This window comes from Homo sapiens, chromosome 3 (genome assembly GCF_000001405.40).
Source record: "Homo sapiens chromosome 3, GRCh38.p14 Primary Assembly".
Taxonomy (NCBI): Eukaryota; Metazoa; Chordata; class Mammalia; order Primates; family Hominidae; genus Homo; species Homo sapiens.
Genome location: NC_000003.12, coordinates 127,595,452 through 127,619,494, shown reverse-complemented (window position 1 = coordinate 127,619,494; position 24,043 = coordinate 127,595,452). Strand labels below are relative to the sequence as shown.

Here is a 24,043-nt window from a genome sequence, read left to right as displayed (position 1 = left end):
AAACTCCTGACATCGTGATCCTCCTGCCTCGGCCTCCCAAAGTACTGGGATTACAGGCGTGAGCCACTGTGCCTGGCACCTACATTTTTTTTTTAATGCCTCCCTGCTCTGGCACCTTTTGGCCTGACTGACCACCACCCCCGCTGCATTGGTCAGAAGGCTCACACTGCACTTCCTTCTCTGCATAGCACCTCCCGGCTCTGCCTGGGCTCTCACCATAGATTCTTTCCTCAGGTCACTGTACATCTTGGCCACCTTGTCCTGGTCCATCTGGTTGAGCTTCGGGTGGACCCTCTCCTTGGCGTAGATGATGTACTTCTTCAGGACCTCCTGGGGCAGGGGCTCCACGCCATACGTGTTGGGCATGGCGGGCTCAGCAGCGCTGCCATTGGCCAGCCCCTCCTCCTCCTTGTTGCTGGGGTGGTGTCTGACGTGGCTGCCCACCACGAAGCGGGCCAGCATCTCGTCCTAAGATAAGCCATGAGAGGGTGGGTCTGATTGTGGGTGTGCGTGGCTTTGGGGAGGTCAGTGGCTGGAGAAGGGCTGAGTGTGCCCTACAAGGGTGACACTCTTTCAACAAGACTGACTACACTGACCATGTGCCAGGCAGTTCTGGGTGTGGGTGGCAAACCAGACAATGGGACAGAGTCCCCACAGGGCTCATCTCCACAAGGGGACAGGAGACAAATAGTCTTAAAAATTAATTATGGAAAGTAATGCTCAGAAGAAAAATAGAGTGATAGGATCAAGGGACCAAGGAGATGCCTCTAGCTAAGGGTGCCCGGCAAAGCCCCTCCCTGAAAGACAGGGAGCTGAGATGACGACAATGAGATGCAAGTCATGTGACAGTGTGGGAGAGCGTCTGCCAGGAGCAAGGAGCACAATCAAGCCCCAAGGCTCGGCCCTTTTGAGAGAGAAGGGCAGGTGCAGGTGCAGGTGAGGGAAGGGAGCGAGGAGGAGGTAGCTGCAGAGATGGCGGGTGCGGGCCGGAGGGGAGGACCCTGGATTCTATTCTGATGACAGCAGAAAGCCTCAAGCAGTTGTTAAGGACGGGGCTGATCTGATTTATGCCTTCAACTGGAAGACAGTCTACATGGGTGCCAGGAGGCCAGTTCAGATGATGGTAGTGCCTCAAGTCAGAGGCAGAAGTGAGGGAGGTGGGTAGGCTCAGGAGTTGGGACAACAGGATTTGGTGGATTGTGGGTTATGTAGGGTGGGGGTCGGGGGTGCTGTGAAGGAAAGAGAAATCAGGGCGACTTCTGGACATGAGAAGAGACCGAGGGAACAGGACTAGAAAACAGCCTATGGCCCCTGCAGCACCTGTCCCCTGTGTTGGGCACACTGTATGACCCCAAGCCTCACCTGAGGTCCCCAAACCACAGTTCATGGAAACCGGGCACATGTGAGCTATACCTGGACTGGGTCCACGGTGTCCCTCACCACACACAGGATGTCAAAGCGTGAGATGATGGGCTCTGTGAGGTCCACGTTCTCAGAGAAAGTCAGCGAGGGGTCGTAGCGCCCTCCTGAAACACAGGGGAGCACCTCCATCAGGGTGGATTCCCCTATCCTCCCATCTCAGGGACCCCAGGCTGCTCTGATGGCAGAAGGGGATGAGGGCAGTGGAAGAGGAAGACATAGGTGGGTACTTAGCACCTGCTGTCTGAGACAGCAAAGAGCTTACCCTAACCAGGGCCCAAAATAGCCTAATTTAGACAGAAAGCATAACTGCTTCCCCAGGAGGAAAAACCAAGAACACAGTGGGTGACAGAGCCTGGGTTCTTTTACGCATTCGCTGCTGAGACCAACAGCCAACTCCATCCTGGCCAGAGGGGCACTGGGCTCTCCTCCCATGCCTTCTGAGAACATCCAAGGTGATTCCAGGAACATGACTCAACAGGAAACCCAGGTGTCCCAGGTCCCACTTTCACTGTTCCCCACTCTGGCAGGATATGCAGAAGAGGGGAACCCTCTGCTGCACAATGACTTCCTCAGATCGGCTCCTGGGGACCCCGTGGGCTCCCAATTCAAGCAGGCGGGACCTCCCTGTGTCCCACCCCAGCCCCAGCAGTCAGGGTGCCTGCTGCACCTATGGGGTTGGCGGCAGCAATGACCGTGCAGCGAGCCTGCAGGGAGGTGACGATGCCAGCCTTCGAGATGGAGATGCTCTGTTGCTCCATGGCCTCATGGATGCTGGTTCTGTCCTGGTCATTCATCTGCAAGATTAAAATGGCCCACCCTTAGCATGGTTCACGCCCCTACTACTAAGTCTCCGATGAGGTCCCAATGGACCCCATTAACACCATTCCCGTCGCTAAGGCCCAAGCCCACACACACCCCCTGAGTTCCACCAGCCTCCGTGACCCAGGGACCCACCTTGTCAAATTCATCAATGAGACACACTCCTCGGTCAGCCAGAACCAGGGCCCCAGCCTCCAAGGTCCACTCCCTGCTGACAGGGTGCCGCTGGACATACGCCGTGAGGCCCACAGCCGACGCCCCCTGGCCAGTGGTGAAGATGGCTCGGCTGGACACTTTCTCAATATACTTGAGAAACTGCGACTTCGCTGTGCCAGGGTCTCCGCACAAGAGCACGTTGATATCACCACGTACCTTGTGCTTGCCACCTGGAGGGGATGAGTAGAAGCGGGGGAGGGGGAGAGTGGGAAGTGAGAGGAGGAGGGCACAGTTGCATCCCCCACCAATTCCTCAACCTACTTGTTAGGAATGGTAAGGCACAGTCCCTCTAGAAAGGGATACAATGCCCTACGCCATGCAGTCCCACTCTGGGCACTCCCAGGGAAACACACACGGGTGCAGAGGAGGGTTGCACGAGATGTCCTTGGCGAATGTGAAATATCAGAAACAATCTAAGTGTTCTCCAAAGGGAGAGCTAAATAAACTGCGTTATCTGGTGGCATGATAGTCATTTAAAAGAAGGCAATTGCTCTGTATGCACTAACAAGAAAAGATGCTGCAGTGTGGCACTGAGCGGGAGAGCTCGGTGGGATGCACTGCGCACAGGCACAGCACTGGGCACACACAGGGGACGCTGCGCTTGTACAAATAAACACGTGTAGTCATGAAACCCTGTGGTTGCTGTGTAATTGTAAATGGCCACAAAGGGAGGGACTAGGAAGAGAAGTGGGGGTCAATGGGGAAATCAGCCTCACCCATGACTTTTAGTGTTCTATAAAAGTGTAATATAAATACAAACTCATGTGTCAATAGTATTTTTGTACTTAAAACAGGTTTTTAAAAGACAAAGTATTTTTTACATAGAAGAGAAGCAAAGACTCATTTGCTTAAATCACAAAAGCAGGCAGACACTGGCTCCCTGACCAACAGCCCAACACCCAGAATGCCCAACTCAGGGCCACCCTCTCCCTTGAAGAATGAGTCACGCCCAGCCAGACCATCTTTTAATGCATTCTTTCTCCCCAGCACCCAGGCTTTAAAAACACTGTGTCCTTCTTTGAATGCTGGCTCCCCAAAGAGAAAGCTGCTAACACCCCTGCAGAGGAAAGGTGGGTGCTCACCTGGGTTTTTGGGCTCCCCTCCGAACAGGGCCAGAGCCAGGCCTCTCTTGATGTCTTCATGACCATAGATGGAAGGAGCAATGCTGGCAAAGATCTGAGAAAGGGAGGGAGACCGACAAGAATGGGAACAGATACTCACAGAGTAGGTCACCCACATGCTCTGGCATCAGGGAACCACGACATCCCCAGCTCAAAGACACCCACTTCCACAGCTGCTGCAACTGCATCAGGCCCTGGTATCAAGCCGTGCCCGACTCTAAAGCTTTTCATTAGTTGGCTCTTCCCAAGAGTCACAGAACTTTGGAGTTTAGAAGAACCTTCATCTGAACCCCTAATCTTGACATATTTCAGAAAGGCCTTTCCCAAGATCACAGACCAAGAGCAGAAATAAGACCAGAACCAGGTCTGTCATGGCACTGGCCTACCTCAAGCCTCAGTTTCTTCATATGGAAAAGAGAGATGGCAACATCCAACTCACAGAAGGGTGGGTACAAATGCGACAGTTCATGCAAGTGCCTGCCTCGTCAATGCAATAAATGTGGCACATCTGGGAGATGTGTCCACCAGGAAGTAATTCCAACTAGTGAGTCACTGGAACATTTCTATTTCAGTGTGTGTGTGAGAGAAAGAAAGAGACAGGGAGAGAGCAAAATCTTCATGAATTTTAGATAGAATTAGAGACATCAAAGACATTTCTTGCTTGTAGGAGACTGCTTCCAACTCCACCTGCAGCAGAGCCATGTTTTGATAGCTTTCAGCCTTCATACCCCCCTGCACTGGCCACACCCACATCCTTCCCTCCTTGTAGGACAGACAAAGAAGCTCAGAAAGCACTGGCCCTCGCCTGGGGAGAGGGGACTAAGGCAGGAAAACCAGCCCTGAAGGTGGAGGGGAGACACCCCCATCAGGCTGCATCCTGTATGTCCTGCCTGCACCATCAAATTCATGCAGCTTTAGAGGTGTCTCTAACTCCTATCTCCCTCTGAAAGCAAGTAACACTTCCCACGGGGCTTCTTGGAGAAATGTCCAATTCCAGGTCCGGGGCTGGAAATGTACAAGAGAAGCCTGCAATATCTTCTACCAGAAAGCAAAAAATCACTCAAAGACAACCAGGGTCATGTCAACAGAACTCAGGAGCCAACATGAATAGGTTCACGCTGGCAAAAAAGGGACACTTGAGCATTGTAGGGATGACACCTGCAGCGTGGAAACCTCAACACCCGGCGGGCCTATTTGTCTGTTATGATACCCAGGTCACCTGGGAACCAATTCATTATTTTTAAAACTAGTAAGTCAAAGAAAATAAGCAGGCATTTACCTGACTAGGCTTCAGTGCCTGACTGCCAAATTACAGAAAACACAGGTGACAGAGGTGTGTGTCTAATGGGGACATAATTAGCAATATCTCGACTGCAAGGCTCAACAGAACAAATGACCCAGTTTCTTCCACAAAAAATTACAAGGAAAAAAGAGATGGAGAAAAGATCTAAAGATTATGAGACTTAAGAGATATCAACCAATCACAACTTATGGATCTTATTTGGATAATGACTCCAAGAAGCTGTAAAAAACAGGGGGAAGGGGTAAGATAATCAGGGAAATGTGAACAACAACAGAATATTGGATATTAAGGAATTGTTAATCACCTCTTAAAGTGAGATAATGGTATTGTGGCTAGGTTTATTCAAAGAGAGTCTTTTCTTTTTCATATACATACTGATGTAGTTACAGAAAAAAACGGCATGCCTGGAATTTGCCTTGAAATATACCAAGGGTGAATGGGTGGTGTATTAAGAACACTCGATTGGCTGTGACTATGACAGCTGTGGAAGCTGGGTAGAGTGCTACAGTTTGAATGTACCCCCCAGAAAGCATGTGTTGGCATCTTAATCCCCCATTTAACAGTATTAAAAGGTGGGACCTTTAAGGGGTGATCAGGCCATGAGGGATCTGCTCTCATGAATGGAGGATAAAAGCACTGCTATCCAGGGAGTAGGTCCTTGTAAAAGGATGAGTCTGGCCCCCTCTGGGCTCTCACTCTGTCTCTTTAACTCTCACCTTTTTGCCATGGGATGACATGGCAAGAAGGCCCTCACCAGATGCCAGCCCTCAATTTTGGACTTCCAGCCTCCAAAACCATAAGTCAATAAATTTCTGTTCATTATAAATTACCCAGTCTATGGTATTCTGTTGTAGCAGCAGAAAATGGACTAAGACAAATGGTCAAAGTTCACTACACCATTCTACATACCTGTTTGAAATTTTCTGTAACAATGTTTTAAAATGTGGGCCAGGCCTTATGTAACACAGAGTGCCCATGGAACTCACAATAACCAAATAAACTCACCAACTGTTGGCACAATACAGTCACTGGGAGCATGGACTCAAGCCAGGCTGCTGACTCTGCCACTTGCTATGTGACTATGGCCAACTTATCTAACCTTTTGTGCCTTAGTTTATTCATCAGTAAAACAGGCAGAGATGAAACCTCACAGGAACATTGCTATCTAGAAATTACCTAGACAATGCCAAGCAGATACTAAGTCCTCAGTAAGTATAATGACTCTCTTATGAAACTCTTACTTTGTGCTGCAGATGCTGGGCAGACCACTCCACGGACCTCTCATGCCCCAACACACCTCGTGCTGGATGTGCCAAGACTGCCAATCCTTGACTCCTCTTAACCCAGCTCATTTCCCCGTATAATTTTTGTAGCGAGCAACCTTGCAGGATGAGGTAATGTCTCCCTCCAGGGCCAAGAGCTTCCTGCTTGCTATGCAGGGCAGATTGCCCAACTCAATCCCCCTCCTGTAAAGCAACCACTGCATCCAGGGGGACTTCCCTGTGGGACTGGAGGGCAAGCAGCGCAAATGTGTGAATGCCTACACTGCCTGCTGTGCCTTCCACCGCTGACCCAGTTACTCCAGGAGAGAGTAGCAGGCTAATTTAATGGCTGGAAAGTGGGGCAGAATCAAATCCCAGACCTGCCAGGGAATAACAGCGCTTTCCATGAATTACCTCATGTAATCCTCATAATAACCTTGTTTCTCTCGATCCTACAGAGGAAACCAAGGCTCAGGTCAAAATATTTTCTCCTAGAGGAGAGGCAAGACTCGACCCCAGATGCATCTGAATCCAAAGCTCATGCTCCTCCTGGCTCTAGGTGTGCTGCTTCCTAGCACTCCTCAGTCTCCGCACCCAGCAAACAGGGATAGAGTGCCCACCTGAGTGGGTACTGTGAGCTCCACCCAGCAAACGGAGAAAAAGCACCCACCTGCATGGGTACCATGAGCCTGAGATAATGTGTGTAAAATGCCTAAAGCATCAGGCTCAAAGCTATTTTTGTCCTACCTACTGGCTGCTTATGCTTTCTACACGCCTGTCACAGGCTCTTCCATCCAGTTTTTGTACAAATAGTTTAACTTTGGTAGCCATGTACAGTAACAGCCAGATACTGAGCACTCGCCAACAGCCAAGTACTTTATATGCACTAATTTATTTGATCTTTATAACAACTCTATGAGTGTTTACTCTCATCCTCTCATTTCTATAGATAAGGGTGACTCATCTGACCATCCTAAGGATTAGGCCAAAATTCAAACCTAAAAAGTCTGGCTTCAGACTGCATGCTGCTTCTGTTAGTTCTTTAAAATCTCTAAGTGTTGGGCATGACCCTGATCTCTTTAATACTTTACCAGATCAGTGTCCAGGGCCCACGGAAGGCAGGCAGGGCCATGAAACTGACAGAGTAGGGGACGGGGTAAACCTGGGGACACAGGCCCTACCTGCAAGGGCAGCTATGCCTCAGCTCCGTCAGCGTTACCAGAGAGGAACACAGAGCCAGCACCCACAGATCTTGGATTTTCAAAAAGCATCCGGATTTCTATGTGAAGTCTCCGGATCCCTCAAGGATGATAACTAACTCAAAATAAAAACAAATACAAAAAGTCAGCTGTTGGCCGGGCGCGGTGGCTCACGCCTGTAATCCCAGCACTTTGGGAGGCCGAGGCGGGCGGATCACGAGGTCAGGAGATCGAGACCATCCCGGCTAAAACGGTGAAACCCCGTCTCTACTAAAAATACAAAAAAATTAGCCGGGCGTAGTGGCGGGCGCCTGTCGTCCCAGCTACTTGGGAGGCTGAGGCAGGAGAATGGCGTGAACCCGGGAGGCGGAGCTTGCAGTGAGCCGAGATCCCGCCACTGCACTCCAGCCTGGGCGACAGAGCGAGACTCCGTCTCAAAAAAAAAAAAAAAAAAAAAAAAAAAAAAAAAAGTCAGCTGCAGAAGCCTGCAGGGCTTCCTGCTGGAGATGGAATCTGCAGAAGACAGAAGTCAGCTGGGGACAAGTGAGGGAGAAGGTGCTCTATGTAGACACAAATAGCAGGCATCAAGACACGGGAGCGGGGTAGGGCTGCCTCCATTTGGGGAACAAGTCGTTTTGGAACCTGGGGCTCCAGAAGCACATGGGGATGGCCCGGGCAGATGCCTTATTAGTGCCCAGGCATGCCATGCCCGCCACACGCTCACCTATGGGTCTCTCACCTCTTCAATCAACAGAGTGGGAGATTAGTGGCTGAAGCTCAAGGCAAAGGAAGAGAAGGTGCCAGAAGAGAGTTCCTCAAGCATGCAGCTCCTTTGGCGTGGTAGGCACAGACACAGATAATCATGTGGGACACAGGTGGCCCGGCTGCTTAGGGACTGTAAGACCCCAGCAGGGCCAAGTCCACCCAAGCCTGAAGAAATTAGCTCAAACATCTGGATGAAATTCTGCAAAGGTGTCCACTGTGGTAGCACTCATGAGCCTCTGCAGGTGGTGAGGGTAGAAGGCTGGGAGGTCCTGGCTTTCTTTGCCTGTGTGACTGTCTTCCTCGCATGTAAAACTACATGAAAAGATCTTGTCTATTTCCTATTATTGGGAACCCTAGTAAAATATGAGCTCTGAGGGCAAGGGTCATGTCTGACTTACTCACCATTGTATCCCTACAACTTGGCCCTAGGAGGTCTTCCAGGAACCAATGTGTGTTGGCTGAACTGAAGCTCCTGGCTTCCTGACGCTGAGAAACACCCACCTCTCCTATGGGAACCCCAGATCTTCGCAGACTAGGTTCGATGGCCAAGAGCTGGGAAGGAATGGCACCAATACCAGCCTCTGCCAGGGATGCATTTCTGGAGCTTTCCTGAACAATGACAGTAACATATAAGCCCACAAATGCTGGATGCTTTGCCCCTACTGGGTTTGCGTCTAGCCTGCAGCAGCTTCTCACGGTGGATGCAAAGACACGCAATACACTTGAGAAAAGGAACCGAGACACAAAACTACCCTGCCTACTTGGAATACACGCCTCAAGGAGTAAAGAAAGGAACAGAACAAACCATGCATGTGTAGGAATATTAAGTGGCAGGCAGACATGGGTAAATGTGATGCGTGAGGAGGAAAAGGAAGGGGCAACCATAGCCGTGCCTCAGAGGAACCAAGAAAGGGGGCTCCACAGGCTTCAGGGGAAGGTGGATGGAGAGAAACAACCAAAACAAATCAGCTAACCTGCAGCCTGGACACAGCTCTCCTTACCCCACCATCCATTCCTTCAAAATTACTCAGGGCCTCCTGCAGCCAGGCCCTGGAGACAGAGGTGATTAAGCCAGTGATGGCTCCTGTCCCTGGGGGGTTTACATACGTCAGAAGGAAATCACCCAGTTCACTGAAGAAGCCAAATGGGAACTGAATTTTATCTTGCCAGAGGGCAGAAGAGTGGAGGTTAAAGGGCGAACTAAACTGCTCTGCATTAAAAACTGAAGTTCAAGTTGACTTGAAGGCCGGGCGTGGTGCCTCACACCTATAATCCCAGCACTTTGGGAGGCTGAGGCAAGCGGATCACCTGAGGTCAGGAGTTCGAGACCAGCCTGGCCAACATGGTGAAATCTGTCTCTACTAAAAATACAAAAATTAGTCAGGTGCGGTGATGTGTGCCTGTAATCCCAGCTACTCGGGAGGCTGAGGCACAAGAATCGCTTGAACCCAGGAGGCAGAGGCTGTAGTGAGCTGAGATCATGCCACTGCACTCCAGCCTGGGTGACAGAGAGACTCCATCTCAAAAAAAAAAAAAAAAAAAAAAAAAAAGGAAGTTGACTGAGAAACAGAGGAAGGAAGGAAGAGAAAGGGGAGAGCAGCGAGCTTGAGAACACACGGTGCTCTGGGGGCAGGATGGAGGTAATGTGGGAGAAACAGCAAAGGGTTTTTATCAACAGAAATTTAACGTTCTGTTTAAGTAATCCGTATTTCTGCAACATAAATCCCCATCTCCTCATCCTTCAGTAAGGATGTCTATACTAAAAACCAACTGCCCAACTGCCTGGGCACAAGGGCTCACACCTGTAAGCCCAGCACTTTGGGAAGCCAATGTGAGAGGATCTTGAGCCAGGAGTTTGAGACCAGCCTGGACAACGTAGTGAGACCCCATCTCCATCACAAAAAAAAACAAAAAACACCACCATTCTGGGTTGTTTTTCTGAAGAAATTCCCGTTGGCCACAGCTGGATCCCTAGGAATCCCTCATGACACAAGTTATCCTATTGCCCTGCCTCTGTTCCAATTTCAAACCACAGCTTGAAATGATCTGCTAAAGGAAGAGCTCTTCTCGTCGCAACCCCGTCCTCAGCAGGGGACTCCTCCCACCACACAGACTCAGAGAGGTCATCCAAGTTATCCCACTACCTCGCTGGCCCATGGTGGAGCCACAGCCAGGTTCACCCATCCCCAATGCGAGTTTACCTCTTCCCTGGAGCACAGGGCCTCCCTTCCAGACAAGCTTACTGAGCTCCAGGGGAATAAGGCAAGGTTTGAGCAGTGAGCCCTAGGTGCCTACCACAGCCCCAGCAACCCTCCATATCCTCTCACAGCATCCTGACAGCCCCTGCCCCTGCCTTCCACCTACCTTCTCTCCGATCTGCTGATCCTTGGAGAGGCTAGTGATCATCTTCACATCTTCATCGGTCAGTTCCCCTACAGCAACCTTGTTGTCCTTCTTGGCCACGTGGTTGGCTAGGATGACAGTGGCAAAGACAGGGAAGCCATTGGCAGTGTTGAGGGAGCCATCATAGTTGTTGTGATAGATGCCAGTCAGCTCCTGGGGAAAGGGAGGGGCCAAGAAGTCAGAGCCTAACCCAGGGGTGCCCACCTCCGTGCTGCCTTCCTCCAGTTTCTCCTATTGCAAGTGCTCCACACTACAGACACCAAGATAAGTAACTCAGTAAAACCCCTCCTAAACCCACCATTCCAACAACCCATCCACCAGAAGAAAGTTCTTTGCCTCAGCCATGCAAAAACAGATCCTAGCCCGAGTGCCCCTGCGACCATAGACACCGCCACCGGCCCAGCCACAACTGCTTCTGCCAGTTCCCTCTGCAACTTGGCTCCCTCCCAGCCTGCCCCGGCCACTTACTATCTCGTCTCCTGGCTTGCAGCTGTCCACCAGATCTGCGAGGAGAATGGCGTCCTTGGAGCGGGGCAGCCGGCCAGCCGCCACTTTGCCTGGACTCTCCTGGATTCGGATACGCTGGTAGTTCTGATAGATGGTCTGCGAGGGACACACAGAAGGCCTCAAATCACTGACTTACTATGTCACCTAACCTTGACCCCCGAACAGGAGGGAGAACAGGCAGGATTCCGACTCCTGAGTGGCAAATGGAGAGCCAAAGACAGCAAGGAATGAGTTCATGGCGACTCAGCACATCAGTTGACAGTCCCCACTCCTGCCACACCATCCCTCTGGGATGCCTTCTGACGGCCAGACTCAGCACCTGCTCTATGCTTTACAGCTAAGCTGTCTTGAGTACCGATGCTGGAACCAGGCTGCCTGGGTTCTGTGTCTAAGCTGTGTGATCTTGGGCAAGTGACTTCCTCTCTCTGTGCCTTCTCTGCAACCTCACAATAAGAATTAAAGCAAGTCATACATACATCAACCTAATCCAGCATCTGATAAATGTTAAGTTACAGGAAGTTTTGGCTGTCACTGTCAAGTATCACAGGCCAGCACTGTGCCATGTCATTTCGTACCCATTATCTCACAACATGGCACTGCAGTTAAAAGCACATGCTCTAGATCAAGATGCCTGAGCTGTGGACCTCTAACACACATTCTGGTTGGGTGACCTCAGCCAGTTCTCTAAACACTCGGCAAAGTGGGGCCAGTAACAGTTCCTGCCTCATGAGCTGTGAAAAAGGACCAGGTAATAAACCACCCACCACCTGGCACTGGTAAGTTACTCCATGAATGATAGCTGTAACTGTTAACCCTCTACCAGGTACTATCTCAGGTCCCTAGAAGCAAGGCCTGAGGGAGACAGACAGGGCATGGGAAGAGTGAGCAAAGACGTGGCTCAGCTGGCATCTGGCCTGCAGCTGCCCCACCCGAGACGAGACGGGTCAGCTTTTGGCTGTAGGTGGCCACAGGTGGAACCTCTGAGGCATTTTCTGGCAAGGTGGCTCCAGCTGGGACAGTTCGCAGAACTGCACTGCAGAGCGGTGAGAAGAGGACAGCCAACAGCCACAGCAGCAAGGCAGTCAAGGGGCCTGGGCGCCACCACAGCGATGGCGATGAGCCCATTTACAGGGACGCTCAAGTACAAAGGCACATTACATGTGCCTAAGACCTTAACATCAGAGGCTTTGGCAGCGTCTCCTGAATATGGTGCAGGAGGTTGGTATGGTCCAGGGGCCCCACGTGAGCCAGACAGGTCCCAGAAACAAGCTGAGGGGAAGTCCCGATGGGACTGCAGCCACCCCACGTGAGTGATGGCACCATGGAGACTGGTAAGCACACATCCTGAAGGAGTGACCTGGCAAGAAGTGGGCCCTGTTTGCCAGATCTTCTCATGTTTCAAGAGGAGCCATAAACTTGTATGGTTTAAACAAATCGCCTGACTTAAATATTGACTTGAATTCCTAAAAACGTCGTGTGGGCCAAGCTAAGTCCACTGGCCAGACAGACTGGGTCCACCCCAGGGTGTGGCCAACACACAATTCTATCTTGCTTCTTGCGGCTGCCCACACTGGTCTTCCACAGCCTGAGAGGCCAGTCAGGTCCTGCATACTGGGCACCCCTAAGGACAGCTGGCAGCAGACCTTGTGTCCTCTCTCACCTCCTCCATGTTGACCTCAAAGGGGCCGGCCGACTGGCACTCAGGACAGGAGCCTGGTTTCACCTCCTGGTTCTGGGACTGGCAGAAAGGACCCAGGACGAAATTGCACTTGTTGCAGTTGTACTTGACCATGCTGAGCTGGGGCAGGACGCCAGTGCAGCTGGTCACCACCCCACTGGTGCGGATCAGCTGGTTCAGATGCAGCTGCCTGCGGAGGCAGAGGGTGCATCAGAAGCCGTGAGCCAGGGTGAGGCCAGGCTGCAGACGAGAGTGTCCCAACACACTGTCCTGGAAATTGGGCCCAGCCCCCAGCCCGGGAAGATCCCTCCCATCACACTCCTGTGCAACCACAACTCACCTGCGATGAGGATGCTGCTGGCTGCACCCTCCCCGCCCACACCACAATCGCTCTTCAGGAATCACGACCGAGTCACCCAGCACTGAGCTCGGACCTGCCATCCTCACCTGCCCTCAGCTCACCTCAGCGAGCGCAGCTCCTCCACCAGAGGCAGGTGGGAGATGCGGACATGGATGTGGTTGGTGATGCGGTCGTACTTGGGGTACATGGCCAGTACCACCTCCAGGGCAGCCTCATCAAAGATCTGCAGCAGCTCCGCCGGTGCCTCAGGCAGGAAGTAGGCCAGCACGTGCTCCCTGGCTGCCAAGTCCTCATAGTTCACCACCAGGCTCTCACGGTTCTCTAGAAGGGGGCACAGTGGGAAGAGAGTTAACTAAGCATGAGGCCTGGGCTGGGCTGCAACAATGCCTGTGTGAGAAGCAAGGCCTACCCACCCCGACCATTGATTTTGACCTAGAAAGCCCAGCTTTCACTTCTAGGTCTACCACACTTCAGCTGTGACATAGCCTGAGCTTCAACTTCCTACTCCGTAAAATGGGCATGTCACACAGTGTACAAAGTTGCTGGGGGGTTAAATTAAATATGAGCAGAGTGCCTACACAGCTACAAACATGAAACGCCTTACAAGAGCCAGGAAGAAACTGACAAACACAGGACAAAAAGCAGTGGAAGGAATTGCAGGAATCAAGATCTACATGTCCCTTTTAAAAGTCAATTCCTGGCTGGGGACGGTGGCTCACGCCTGTTATCTCAACACTCTGGGAGGCCAAGGCGGGCAAATCACCTGAGGTCGGGAGTTTGAGACCAGTCTGACCAACATGGAGAAACCCCTTCTCTACTAAAAAAAAAAAATTAGTCAGGCATGGTGGTGCATGCCTGTAATTCCAGCTACTCGGGAGGCTGAGGCATGAGAAACGCTTGAACCCAGGAGGCGGAGGTTGCAGTGAGCCGAGACCGTGCCATTGCACTCCAGCCTGGGAAACAAGAACAAAACTCCGTCTCAAAAAAAAAAAAAAAAAAAAAAAGAGTCAATTCCTATTACAAAGATCAAAGTAGTAATCCAGATTTTTATATAAAATCTGTCCATTTTCAAGCTTGTCAAAAAACGCTTTGGTGGCCCAGATGTGGTCACTGCATAGCCAGCAGGAGAGCCCTGATGCAAAACTCAAAACTTTTGGTTTCTCTGACAGACCTCTCAGCCATATGCCCTGTGCTTCACGTGTTCACTCGGCTCAGACAACTTTCTGGGGAGGATTTAGGGAGGCGCTACAGGGGCTGAGGCGGGGGCGTAGGGAAGCCACACCTTTGCACATGTCGCTGATGCGCTCCTTGAAGACGTTGTGGCCGTGGCTGTCGACGTGAGTGCGCAGGAAGTTCTTGAAGCGGTGGTGGATCTCCAGCCGGGGGCCCGCCATGCTCACCCACTCGCGCACAGAGTGGCCTTTGAGATCCTCCAGGTTCTCGATGCTCTCGATCATCTCCTCGTCCTCCTCGCCGTCCTCCGTGGCCCGCTCCACCTGGCGGCGCTTGCGGGCAGGGCGCTCCTCGTCCTCCTCATCGCTGTCTGGGGAGGCAAGAGACACCTGCTACTGCGGTCATCCCCAGCACCTTCTACTCCCCTCCCAGACTCCTTCCCAGCTTCCCAGTCCCTCGGGCAGGCAGACAACTGGACCTACCATACAGGAGCCCACGGCGCATGCGGCCCAGGCCCCGGCCAGCCTCCCGGTCACGCTGCCGCATGGCCCGCTCTGCTGCCTCCCTCTGACTGGCCGTCAGCTCCTCTACGTCCTCATCATCCAGAGCCAGTCCCTCGGCCTCATAGGCGTCCAGCTCTGGGATGGCGCGGTAGTCCCTGAGGGAGCACCAAAACAGATGTGGTTACTGCCAAAAAGGAAAACCCTAAGCACCAAACCCCATCCAGGAACTGGGCCTGTTCCCTAAGGTTCAGGAGCCCCATTGTGGGTAGGCTCAGCGCTTCCAGGTCAGAAACACAGAAGGCTCAGAAAAGATCTCCAATGGATGAACAAAACACGATCTGTCCATATGATGGACGATGAAGCCTTAAAATAGAAGGAAATTCTGCCACGTGCTGGCACATGGATGAACCTTGAGGACATGATTCTGAGTGAAAGAAGCCAGGCACAAAAGGACAAATCCTATATGGTTCCACTCACTGAGCGGTCAAATTCACAGAAACAGAAAGTAAAATGATGGTTGCTAGGTGCTGGGAAGAATGGGGAGTTAGTGTTTAACCGAGACAGTTTCAGTTTTCAAACTGAAAAGACTTTTGTGGATGGATGGCGGTGATGGCCGCACAACAATATGAATGTACTTAATGCCACTGAACCATACACATAAGAATGGTTAAGATGGCTGGGCATGGTGGTTCATGCCTATAATTCCAGCACTTTGGGAGGTGAAGGCAGGAGGATCACTTGAGCCCAGGAGTTCAAGAACAGCCTTAACATAGTGAGACCCCATCTGTATAAAAATAGAAAATGGCCGGGCACGGTGGCTCATGCCTGTAATCCCAGCACTTTGGGAGGCCAAGGCGGATGAATCACGAAGTCAAGAGATTGAGACCATCCTGGCGAACATGGTAAAACTCCATCTCTACTAAAAATACAAAAATTAGCTGGGCGTAGTGTCATGTGCCTCTAGTCCCAGCTACTCGAGAGGCTGAGGCAGGAGAATCGCTTGAACCCGGGAGGCAGAGGTTGCAGTGAGCAGAGATTGTGCCACTGCACTCCAGCCTGGTCGCAACAGAGTGAGACTCCGTCTCAAAAAAAACAAAAAGAAAAAAAAAATAACCCAGGCCTGGTGGCACATGCCTATAGTCCTAGCTACTCAGGAGGCTGAGCTGGGAGGATTGCTTGAGCGCAGGAGTTCAAGGCTGCAGTGAGCCACGTTCGTGCCACTGCATTCCAGCCTGGGTGACAGAGTAAGACCCTGTCTCAAAAAACTAGCAAACAAAACAAAACAAACAAACAAACAAAAGGGCTGGGTGCGGTGGCTCATGCCTGTAATCCTAGCACTTTGAACCAGGGAGGCAGAGGTTGCAGTGAGCCGAGATAGCACCACTGCACTCCAGCCTGGGCAACAAGAGTGAAACTCCGTCTCAAACAAACAAACAAACAAAAAAGGTTAAGATGGTAAATTTTGGGCCAGGGCAGTAGCTCATGCTTGTAATCCCAGCACTTTGGGAGGCTGAGGCGGGCGGATCACGAGGTCAGGAGATCGAGACCATCCTGGCTAACACGGTGAAACCCCGTCTCTACTAAAAATACAAAAATTACTTGGGCGCGGTGGTGGGCGCCTGTAGTCCCAGCTACTTGGGAAGCTGAGGCAGGAGAATCACTTTCGGAGGTTGCAGTGAGCCGAGATCACACCACTGCACTCCAGCCTGGCAACAGAGTGAGACTCTGTCTCAAAAAAAAAACAAAAGAAAAGGTAAATTTTGTTATGTGTATTTTACCACAATTACAAAAGGGGAGGTAGATCTCCAGACAGCTTCTATGCGCCCAATAAGAAAAAATAATTCAAGGAACCACAAAACATTAGACCAAAAGGCTTCAGAGAGCTGACCCAACTCCCCGTGAGGGCTGGAATTCTCCCTGTACTTTCCCCATCTCTGACTATGCCGCCTTCAACAACCTGATGTCCTGGCTTCCATGCACAGTCAGCCAAACCAGCCCTCTGAAATGGCCACCCACTGTCTCAACCCTTTGAGCTACTCTAAGACCATCAGACACACATTTTCCACATTATCTTCCTTCAGATACTGAAGAGAAGTAATGCCTTAATAAGGCACCCAGCGAGTGCAAAGCACTGTGCTCTCTTCCCTGCAGTGCTCTCTTCCCTGAGGAGGAGACACTGTCATTCCATCTGAAAGATGAGGAAATGGGTAGTTGAGGGGAAAATGTGATTTTTGCCTATGGTCGCTCTGTAGACCTGAGTGTCAAAATATAGTCCAAGCCCAGAGCTCCTTCCCCCATGCCATACTGCCTCCCCAAGACAATCCCCTTGAATTCTCCTTTTTTCAGGTTAAATGGTGACAAGAGAAACTGCTACTATTTTTCTGCAATAAACATTGTCAAACTACTGTCAGAACAAATCTTTTTATGCTGTTGATGCCCCAAGCAGAACCCAGCCAGGCAGATATCAGAGTTGACCAGGTCTGATTTCTTCCATGTTTTCGGGGAAAAGGTATCGGTCCCATTCTCCCTGGATCTCAAGTCACACAAAATGCCCTCAGCAAACTTCTAATTGGTTCATACAAAAAAAAAAAAAAAAAAAAGTTAAACTGGACTTCATCAAATTTCAAAACTTTTGCACTTCAAAAGAAAACATTAAAACCACGAAAAAGATAAGCCAGATTGAGGAGAAAATAACTGCAAATTACATATCTGATAGAGGACTTATATTCAGAATATGTAAAAAACCTCTTACAACTCAATAGTAAAAAGACAAGCAACCCAATTAAAAAGTGAGTCCAGGATTTCTCTGAAGATACACAGATAGCCAATCAAGCATACGAAAAGATGTTCAACATCATTAGCCATCAGGAATGAGATGCCACTTCACACCTGCAGGGATGGCCAGAATCAAAAAGACCAATGTTGGCAAGAACACGGAGGAGTGGAACCCTCATGTGTTGCTGGTGGGAATGCAAGATAGTGCAGCTGCTTTTGAAAACAGTCTGGCAGTTCCTCAAAAGATTAAACACAAGACCAACAATCTCACTCCTACATAGCCAACAGAATTAAAGATCTGGTCACATAAAAACCTGTAACGGGCCGGGTGTGGTGGCTCACACCTGTAATCCCAGCACTTTGGGAGGCTGAAGCACGTGGATCACCTGAGGTCAGGGGTTCAAGACCAGCCTGGCCAACATGGTAAAACCGAAACCGCATCTCTACTAAAAATAGAAAAATTAGCCGGTGTGGTGGCAAATGTCTGTGATCCCAGCTACTTGGGAGGCTGAGGCAGGAGAATTGCTTGAACCTGGGAGGCGGAGGTTGCAGTGAGCTGAGATTGTGCCACTACACTGCAGCCTAAGCGACAGAGCAAAACTCAAAAACAAACAAACAAACAAACAAAAAAACACGACCTGTAATGAATGTTCATAGCAACATTATTCATAATCGCCAAAAGGCTTGAGGAAGCCAACATCCATCAACTGATGAATAGATGTGGTATCTCCATACAAAGAAATATGATTCAGCCACAAAAAGGAATGGAGTGCTGCACATGCAAGAACACAGAAAGACCTTAAAACCACACTAAGAGAAAAAAGCCCACCACAAAAGTGCATATATAATATGATTCAATTTATATGAAATGACCAGATTGGAAAATCTAGAGACAGGTCTTTAATTCTTACCTGTGGGTTGGGTAAGAACTGAGAATGAACTATAAGCAGGCAGGAGGGACCTCAATGGGAAAACGGCCCTGTTCTCACACTGGATTGTGGTGAAGGCTGCATAACTCAGGAAATTTACCATGAATTTGCATTGAATTATATTTTCGCAAGGGGTAAACTCTAAAAAACTATAGCCCAATAAAGTTTTTTTTTTTTTTTTTGAAAAACCACAAAAACAAATGTAATTGGGCTCAGCCATCCCTCAGATACCTCTACCCAGAAGCCCCCTGCCAAGGGCCTCTCTCTTTGCTTCTCAGAGAAGCAAAGAGAAAGGGTCAAGACAGGGAGGGGAAACAGCAGAGGAGGGGCATCCGGCCTGAACAACTCCATCAGGCAGAACAGGAAAGCCGTCTAGGACCCATGCCCTGACCCCAAGTCCAGGGCAGATTTATCCAGACTCCTCATTCCTTCTACAGCCTACAGCACATGCAGTCTCATCGTTGGGGGTGGTACTGATAATAGCAAAGATGCATCCAGTCTGGAGTGCCCTTGAAAGCCTCTCAACTGTCTGACATCCTAGGGACGGCAGGATGCCCTGCACAGTACTCTCACACATGCTAAGGCTGAAAAGGCACAAAAGGAGCATCTCCACGAGGCTCCTGGGCATTCACACAATTCCGCTACTGACGTTATCTACCAGATCGCAGCTGGAAATGCAGAGTAAGGCAGGGGTAGAAATCTAGCCTTGCTTATGCGCAGAGCTTACTCCACTCTCCTAGCATTAAGTCTTGCTAACTTATTTATTTATTTATTTTTGAAACAGAGTTTCACTCTTTTCGCCCAGGCTGGAGTGCAGTGGTGTGATCTCAGCTCACTGCAACCTATGCCTCCTGGGTTGAAGTGATTCTCCTGCCTTAGCCTCCCAAGTAGCTGGGACTACAAGCACGCACCACCATGCACAGCTAATTTTTTGTATTTTTAGCAGAGACGGGGTTTCACCCTGTTGACCAGGCTGGTTTCAAACTCCTGACCTCAGGTGATCCGCCCACCTCGGCCTCCCAAAGTGCTGGGATTACAGGTGTGAGCCACCACATGTTTACTAATAAACAAGACCATTCCTAACAAAGGGCATGGTGCACATTAGGTACAATAAATGTTTGCTGATTGACTCTAAAACTTTATTTATCAGATCCCTCCTCCCCCATGCACCTTTCCTTTGAAAAGTTACTGGGAAACACTGGGCTTCCTGCTTCCTGTCTTTTTGAGTTGGAGTATTCCAGATTAGAGACCCCTACATTCTCTGGGGTGCTTATGGAGTCGGGGCTTATCCTCAGCTTAGGGTCTAGTCTTTCCAAGTTACATGCAGTAAGTTAAAGAGACCTGTGTCATGGCTCTGTAAACCTGTCTCCTCAGAACCCTGGATCAAGCTGTGCTCAAAGGCAAGAATGCCATCGATTCATCTGCTCCCAGCTCCCAAAGCCAGGCCACCAGGCACACAATGGGCTCTCTGCAAAACTATCTGCTGAGTCCAGGGCCTTGAATGAAATTACCTTTCCATGCCATCTCCAATGAGCTCCTCTCCATCCTCTTCTTCCTCCAGGGGCCCCTCTGTGCCTAGGAGCCCCTCGGACTCATCCTCAAATGGTGGAAGGTCACGGCCAGGGCTGGAGGTGAGGGCATCAGTACGCCGGGAGCTTCGGCCAGGGCTGGAGGTGAGAGGATCATTGCCTCGCCGACGCTGGGCCGGGCTGGATGCCATGGTGAAGGATTCCGATGATTCCTGCAAGAGAAGGTGCGGTTGTCAGAAACCTAGGAAGCTGGTGAGGCATGATACAGCTTCCTTTTTACCATCAGGGGCCTTCCCTTCTTTCTCTCCACCTGTGACTCTTGTCCTCCAACACACCAAACCCCTTCCAGCCTCCAGATCTTTGCCCTTGCTGTTCTCTCACCTGGAATGCTCTCAGCTGAGCAATCTGAGTCAGTGGCTTCCAAACAAATAGAAGCCAGCTCAAATATCGGGGTCACCCACATCACCGTGCTTTCTCCATGAAAAACCACTGAGGTTATGTCATTTGCCTATTTACCTGTTTACTGTCTATTATCTCCCCTTAAGCATTAGACCTATTTCAGCACACACAGTGCGCAAGGTATTGTGATAGAGATGGCATAGAAGAGCCACCAAAACAAGAGGTCTGGAACTCAGATGTGGAACAGACAGTATACAAGACAAAGGGACAAGAAGGTAATACAAAAGTAAGTGTAGTGTTTGGAACAAGGATCATTGGGAAATTAAAAAAAAAAAAAGTTTAAAGGAGTGTAGTGAAATGGGGGCCTGTCTTTTGTACGCTCAGCGCCACACAGATGGCGCCCAATAAGTATGTGTGGGGTGAATAAAGGACAGAGGCTGAACGGGCCGAGCTCGCCTTAGGGAGCCCAGGGCCCCAGGTCAGTGGTAGGTAGGCGAGTCGCCTCACGCAGGGTGCAGGCGAGAAAGTAGCTGCGCCCCAGAGCCTGGGGCCCAGCCTCACCCAGAGCGCCGCCCTGGGCCGGGGCCAGAGTACGGGAAGCGCGCAGCCTCCGCACCCATGTCCCCGGCGCCCGCCCGCCACGCGCCAGCGCGCTCACCGCCATAGCAGTACCACGATCCTCTCCGCCACTACAGCAACAACCAGGTTTCGCGCGAAAAGTGGTTCACGTGACCCACCAAAGCCCGGGAAGAGCCCTACGGAACGCGACGTCATGACGTCGGCGTCCACTGGCGACCAGAAGGGACACGGAGGGGCGGGCCAGAGGGTCCGGTCCCGCCTACAACGCCCGAGGCGCTCCGCCCAGAGCCCGGAGGTGTGCGGCCCGGCGCTGTGCGCGTGCGCTCGCCTGCGCTGTGGTGGGAGCTGGAGCGGAGGTAGAAGCTGAGGCTCCAGGGGACCCGACGACACTTGCTGGCTGCGTGACCTCGGTCACACCAGGGCCATTTTGCTGACAAGACAACAGAGGCCGGGCGCGGTGGCTCACGCCTGTAATCCCAGCACTTTGGGAAGCCGAGGTGGGCGGATCACAAGCTCAGGAGTTCGAGACCAGCCTGACTAACATGGTGAAACCCAGTCTTTACTAAAAATACAAAAATTAGTTGGGCATGGTGGCACGGGCCTGTAATCCCAGCTACTCGGGAGGCTGAGGCAGAAGAATCGCTTGAACCTGGGAGGTGGAGGTTGCGGTGAGCCGAGATCCCGCCACTGCACTCCAGCCTGGGTGACAGAGTGAGACTCCGTCTCAAAAAAAAAAAAAGACAGCAGAGGTTCAGAGCCTGGTTTTCTGACGCTTCTTACCGTCTTAGGAGCACAATGGTTTAACTTCTCCCAAAGCTCAAAGGCTCAATACTTCAAGCAGCTGGACAACTCTGGGATTTTGTAGGAGGTCACATCTGAGGCTTTAGTAGGAGTTATCTTTGCCCAGGGGAGCGAAGACGCAGGGAGGATGTTACAGATAGAAGGATGCCATGTGCAAAGCTGCAGAGGTCATGGCAGGGCCCGGATGTGCAAGCCCCTCCCTAAGAACTAACCCTAGGAGCTTATGATGCCGGGCAACAGACAAGACTTGAGGGAGAGAAAATCCGGATCAAAAAAGAGCTAGATGTTTTTCTAGAGAGTTTGACTATTCTGTATTCTGAAAGCAATGGAAGGCCATGGAAGCATTTTGAGCAGGGTGAGACGTGAACTAGTGTGGGTTTTAGAATCCCTCTGGCTGCTACCAGGTGGAAGTGGATTGAACGAGGTTGAAGGCAGCAAACGAGGAGGTTGCTGTGGTTCTTGTCTAGTTCCAGGCAGCCTTAGTGAGCAGAGGCAGGGCTGAATCGCAACCCTCTTAGCCAGGCACTTTGTGCAGTGAACAAGCATCTCTGCCTGGGACCCAGGGTAGGGAGGCAGGAGTGATGGAGAGAACTGGAAATACAAGATGTTTAGGAGGTGGAATCTTTTTTTTTTTTTTGAGACAGAGTCACTCTGTCACCCAGGCTGGAGTGCAGTGGTGCAACCTCAGCTCACTGCAACCTCCACCTCCCAAGTTCAAGCGATTCTCGTGCCTTAGCCTCCCGAGTAGCTGGGATTAGAGATGCACGCCATTGTGCCCGGTTAATTTTTGTATTTTTAGTAGAGATGGGATTTCACCATTGTTAGCTAGGCTGGTCTCCAACTCCTGACAAGTGGATCCGCCTGCCTTGGCCTCCCATAGTGCTAGGATTACAGGCGTGAGCCACCACGCCCGGCCAGGAAGTGGGGTCTATAGGTGTTGGTGATTGAGGACAGCAAAAGAGGCATGCAGGATGACACCAGGATCCTGGCTTAGCTAGGTGGATGATAGCTGAGATAGGAGCGCACAGGAAGACCAGCAATTTAAGGGGGAAGAAGATGAGTTTGTTTCTGGCTGTGCTGAATTTGGGCCGAGGGGACATATCCAGGAAGCTGTTGGATATCCATGTATGGGACTCAAGGGCGTGTTTGGACTGAAGCTGTAGATTGCCTTGGGAGTGGTTGTATAATCCAGAGTGAGTGCAGGGAGATGAGAAGGTCTAAGCCTGGGACCTGGGAAACCCCAACAGTTAAGAGACACCAACAAAGGATGTGAAGGATGCACCTCGGATGCTAGGAGCTGCTGACAGGAAAGCTGAAGAGACTCTGCATGGGCTTGTGTTATCTATTGCTGCATAAAAAATTATCCTGGGATGGCCAGGCATGGTGGCTCACACCTGTAATCCCAGCACTTTGGGAGGCTGAGGCAGGTGGATCACCTGAGGTCAGGAGTTCAAGACCAGCCTGACCAACATGGAGAAACCCTGTCTCTATTAAAAATCCAAAATTAGCCAGGCGTAGTGGCGCATGCCTGTAATCCCAACTACTCAGGAGGCTGAGGCAGGAGAATCACTTGAACACTGGAGGTGGAGGTTGCGGTGAGCCGAAATTGTGCCATTGCACTCCAGCCTGGGCAAAAAGAGCGAAACTCTATCTCAAAAAAAAAAAAATTATCCTGGGATTTAGCACCTTGAAGCAATTAGCACCCACTGTCTCGGTGTCTGTGGATCAGGGATCTGGACACGATGCCACTGGGTGCCTCTTCTTCAAGGTCTTTCAAGGCTGCAGGCAAGGTATTGGCCAGGGCTGCTGTCTCCTCTGAAGGCTCATCTTCAGGAGGATCCCCTTCCAAGCTTCTTCACATGATAGGATTCAGGTCCTCATAGGCTGTTGGACTGAAGACTTAGTTTCCCACTGGCTCTTGGGTGGGGGCCTCTCTACAGAGCAGCTTACAACCTGGCAGCTGGTTTCTTTCAGAGCAAGCGAACAAGAGAGAGAGGCCATACAAGACAGATGCCATGTCTTGGAAGTGATATTCCTTTACTTTTGCCATATTCTCTTAGCGAGAAGTGAGTCCTGAGGTCCGGCCCACACTGAAGGAGAGGAGATCCTAGCAGGGCTGGGGATTATCAGGAGCCCTCCCAAAGGCCACTGAAGAGAGCAGTCAAGATGGTGGATGGGGTCAGCTGGCTGCCCAGAGGTCATCTGATAAGGACTAGGAGCTGTTAGTGGCCCTGGCGATAGCAGATCTGGGCTGGCCGGTGTGTCTGGAGTCAGACACTACATTGAAGTGTGTTGACAG

At 50.9% G+C, this 24,043-nt stretch overlaps 2 protein-coding genes across 11 annotated transcripts in view, besides 4 other annotated features; one reads left to right on the top strand and one right to left on the bottom strand.

Annotated features, from left to right (window-relative positions):
• MCM2 (minichromosome maintenance complex component 2) overlaps positions 1-21,084 on the bottom strand; it is a 24,026-nt gene extending 2,942 nt beyond the window's left edge. Inside the window, exons 1-13 of one of the 3 annotated variants that reach the window (NR_073375.2) lie at positions 21,023-21,084; positions 19,948-20,177; positions 14,712-14,887; positions 14,339-14,618; positions 13,158-13,377; positions 12,678-12,885; positions 10,979-11,113; positions 10,472-10,663; positions 3,540-3,633; positions 2,377-2,627; positions 2,090-2,216; positions 1,414-1,526; positions 217-468 (exon numbers count right to left, since the gene is read on the bottom strand). Coding sequence is in view for 2 of the 3 variants with exons in the window: in NM_004526.4 (NP_004517.2) it covers positions 217-468; positions 1,414-1,526; positions 2,090-2,216; positions 2,377-2,627; positions 3,540-3,633; positions 10,472-10,663; positions 10,979-11,113; positions 12,678-12,885; positions 13,158-13,377; positions 14,339-14,599; positions 14,712-14,887; positions 19,948-20,177; positions 21,023-21,028 (2,265 nt within the window). In the remaining variant the exon portion in view is untranslated. Of the gene's footprint in view, positions 1-216; positions 469-1,413; positions 1,527-2,089; positions 2,217-2,376; positions 2,628-3,539; positions 3,634-10,471; positions 10,664-10,978; positions 11,114-12,677; positions 12,886-13,157; positions 13,378-14,338; positions 14,619-14,711; positions 14,888-19,947; positions 20,178-20,346; positions 20,371-21,022 lie in introns of those variants that run through there. The other 2 variants (NM_004526.4, XM_024453531.2) reach the window with 2 other exon arrangements.
• Positions 2,160-2,660: an enhancer, noted in NCBI's record as "H3K4me1 hESC enhancer chr3:127335678-127336178 (GRCh37/hg19 assembly coordinates)". NCBI's record gives its function as "activates a minimal SCP1, AML or CMV promoter by ChIP-STARR-seq in primed H9 embryonic stem cells {active_cell/tissue: H9 hESC(primed)}" and the evidence as "EXISTENCE:reporter gene assay evidence [ECO:0000049][PMID:30033119]".
• Positions 20,449-21,406: an enhancer, noted in NCBI's record as "NANOG-H3K27ac-H3K4me1 hESC enhancer chr3:127316932-127317889 (GRCh37/hg19 assembly coordinates)". NCBI's record gives its function as "activates a minimal SCP1, AML or CMV promoter by ChIP-STARR-seq in primed H9 embryonic stem cells {active_cell/tissue: H9 hESC(primed)}" and the evidence as "EXISTENCE:reporter gene assay evidence [ECO:0000049][PMID:30033119]".
• Positions 20,786-20,945: a silencer, noted in NCBI's record as "silent region_14691". NCBI's record gives its function as "represses an Ori minimal core promoter by ATAC-STARR-seq in GM12878 lymphoblastoid cells {active_cell/tissue: GM12878}" and the evidence as "EXISTENCE:reporter gene assay evidence [ECO:0000049][PMID:35858748]".
• Positions 20,976-21,095: an enhancer, noted in NCBI's record as "active region_20457". NCBI's record gives its function as "activates an Ori minimal core promoter by ATAC-STARR-seq in GM12878 lymphoblastoid cells {active_cell/tissue: GM12878}" and the evidence as "EXISTENCE:reporter gene assay evidence [ECO:0000049][PMID:35858748]".
• The window catches only part of TPRA1 (transmembrane protein adipocyte associated 1), a 27,000-nt gene continuing 24,220 nt past the window's right edge, over positions 21,264-24,043 (top strand). For 3 of the 8 annotated variants that reach the window (NM_001353007.2, NM_001353003.2, XM_047447441.1), the window contains exon 1: positions 21,264-21,488. The gene's annotated coding sequence lies outside the window, so the exon portion shown is untranslated. Of the gene's footprint in view, positions 21,489-23,804 lie in introns of those variants that run through there. The other 5 variants (NM_001353005.2, XM_047447440.1, NM_001353004.2 and 2 more) reach the window with 4 other exon arrangements.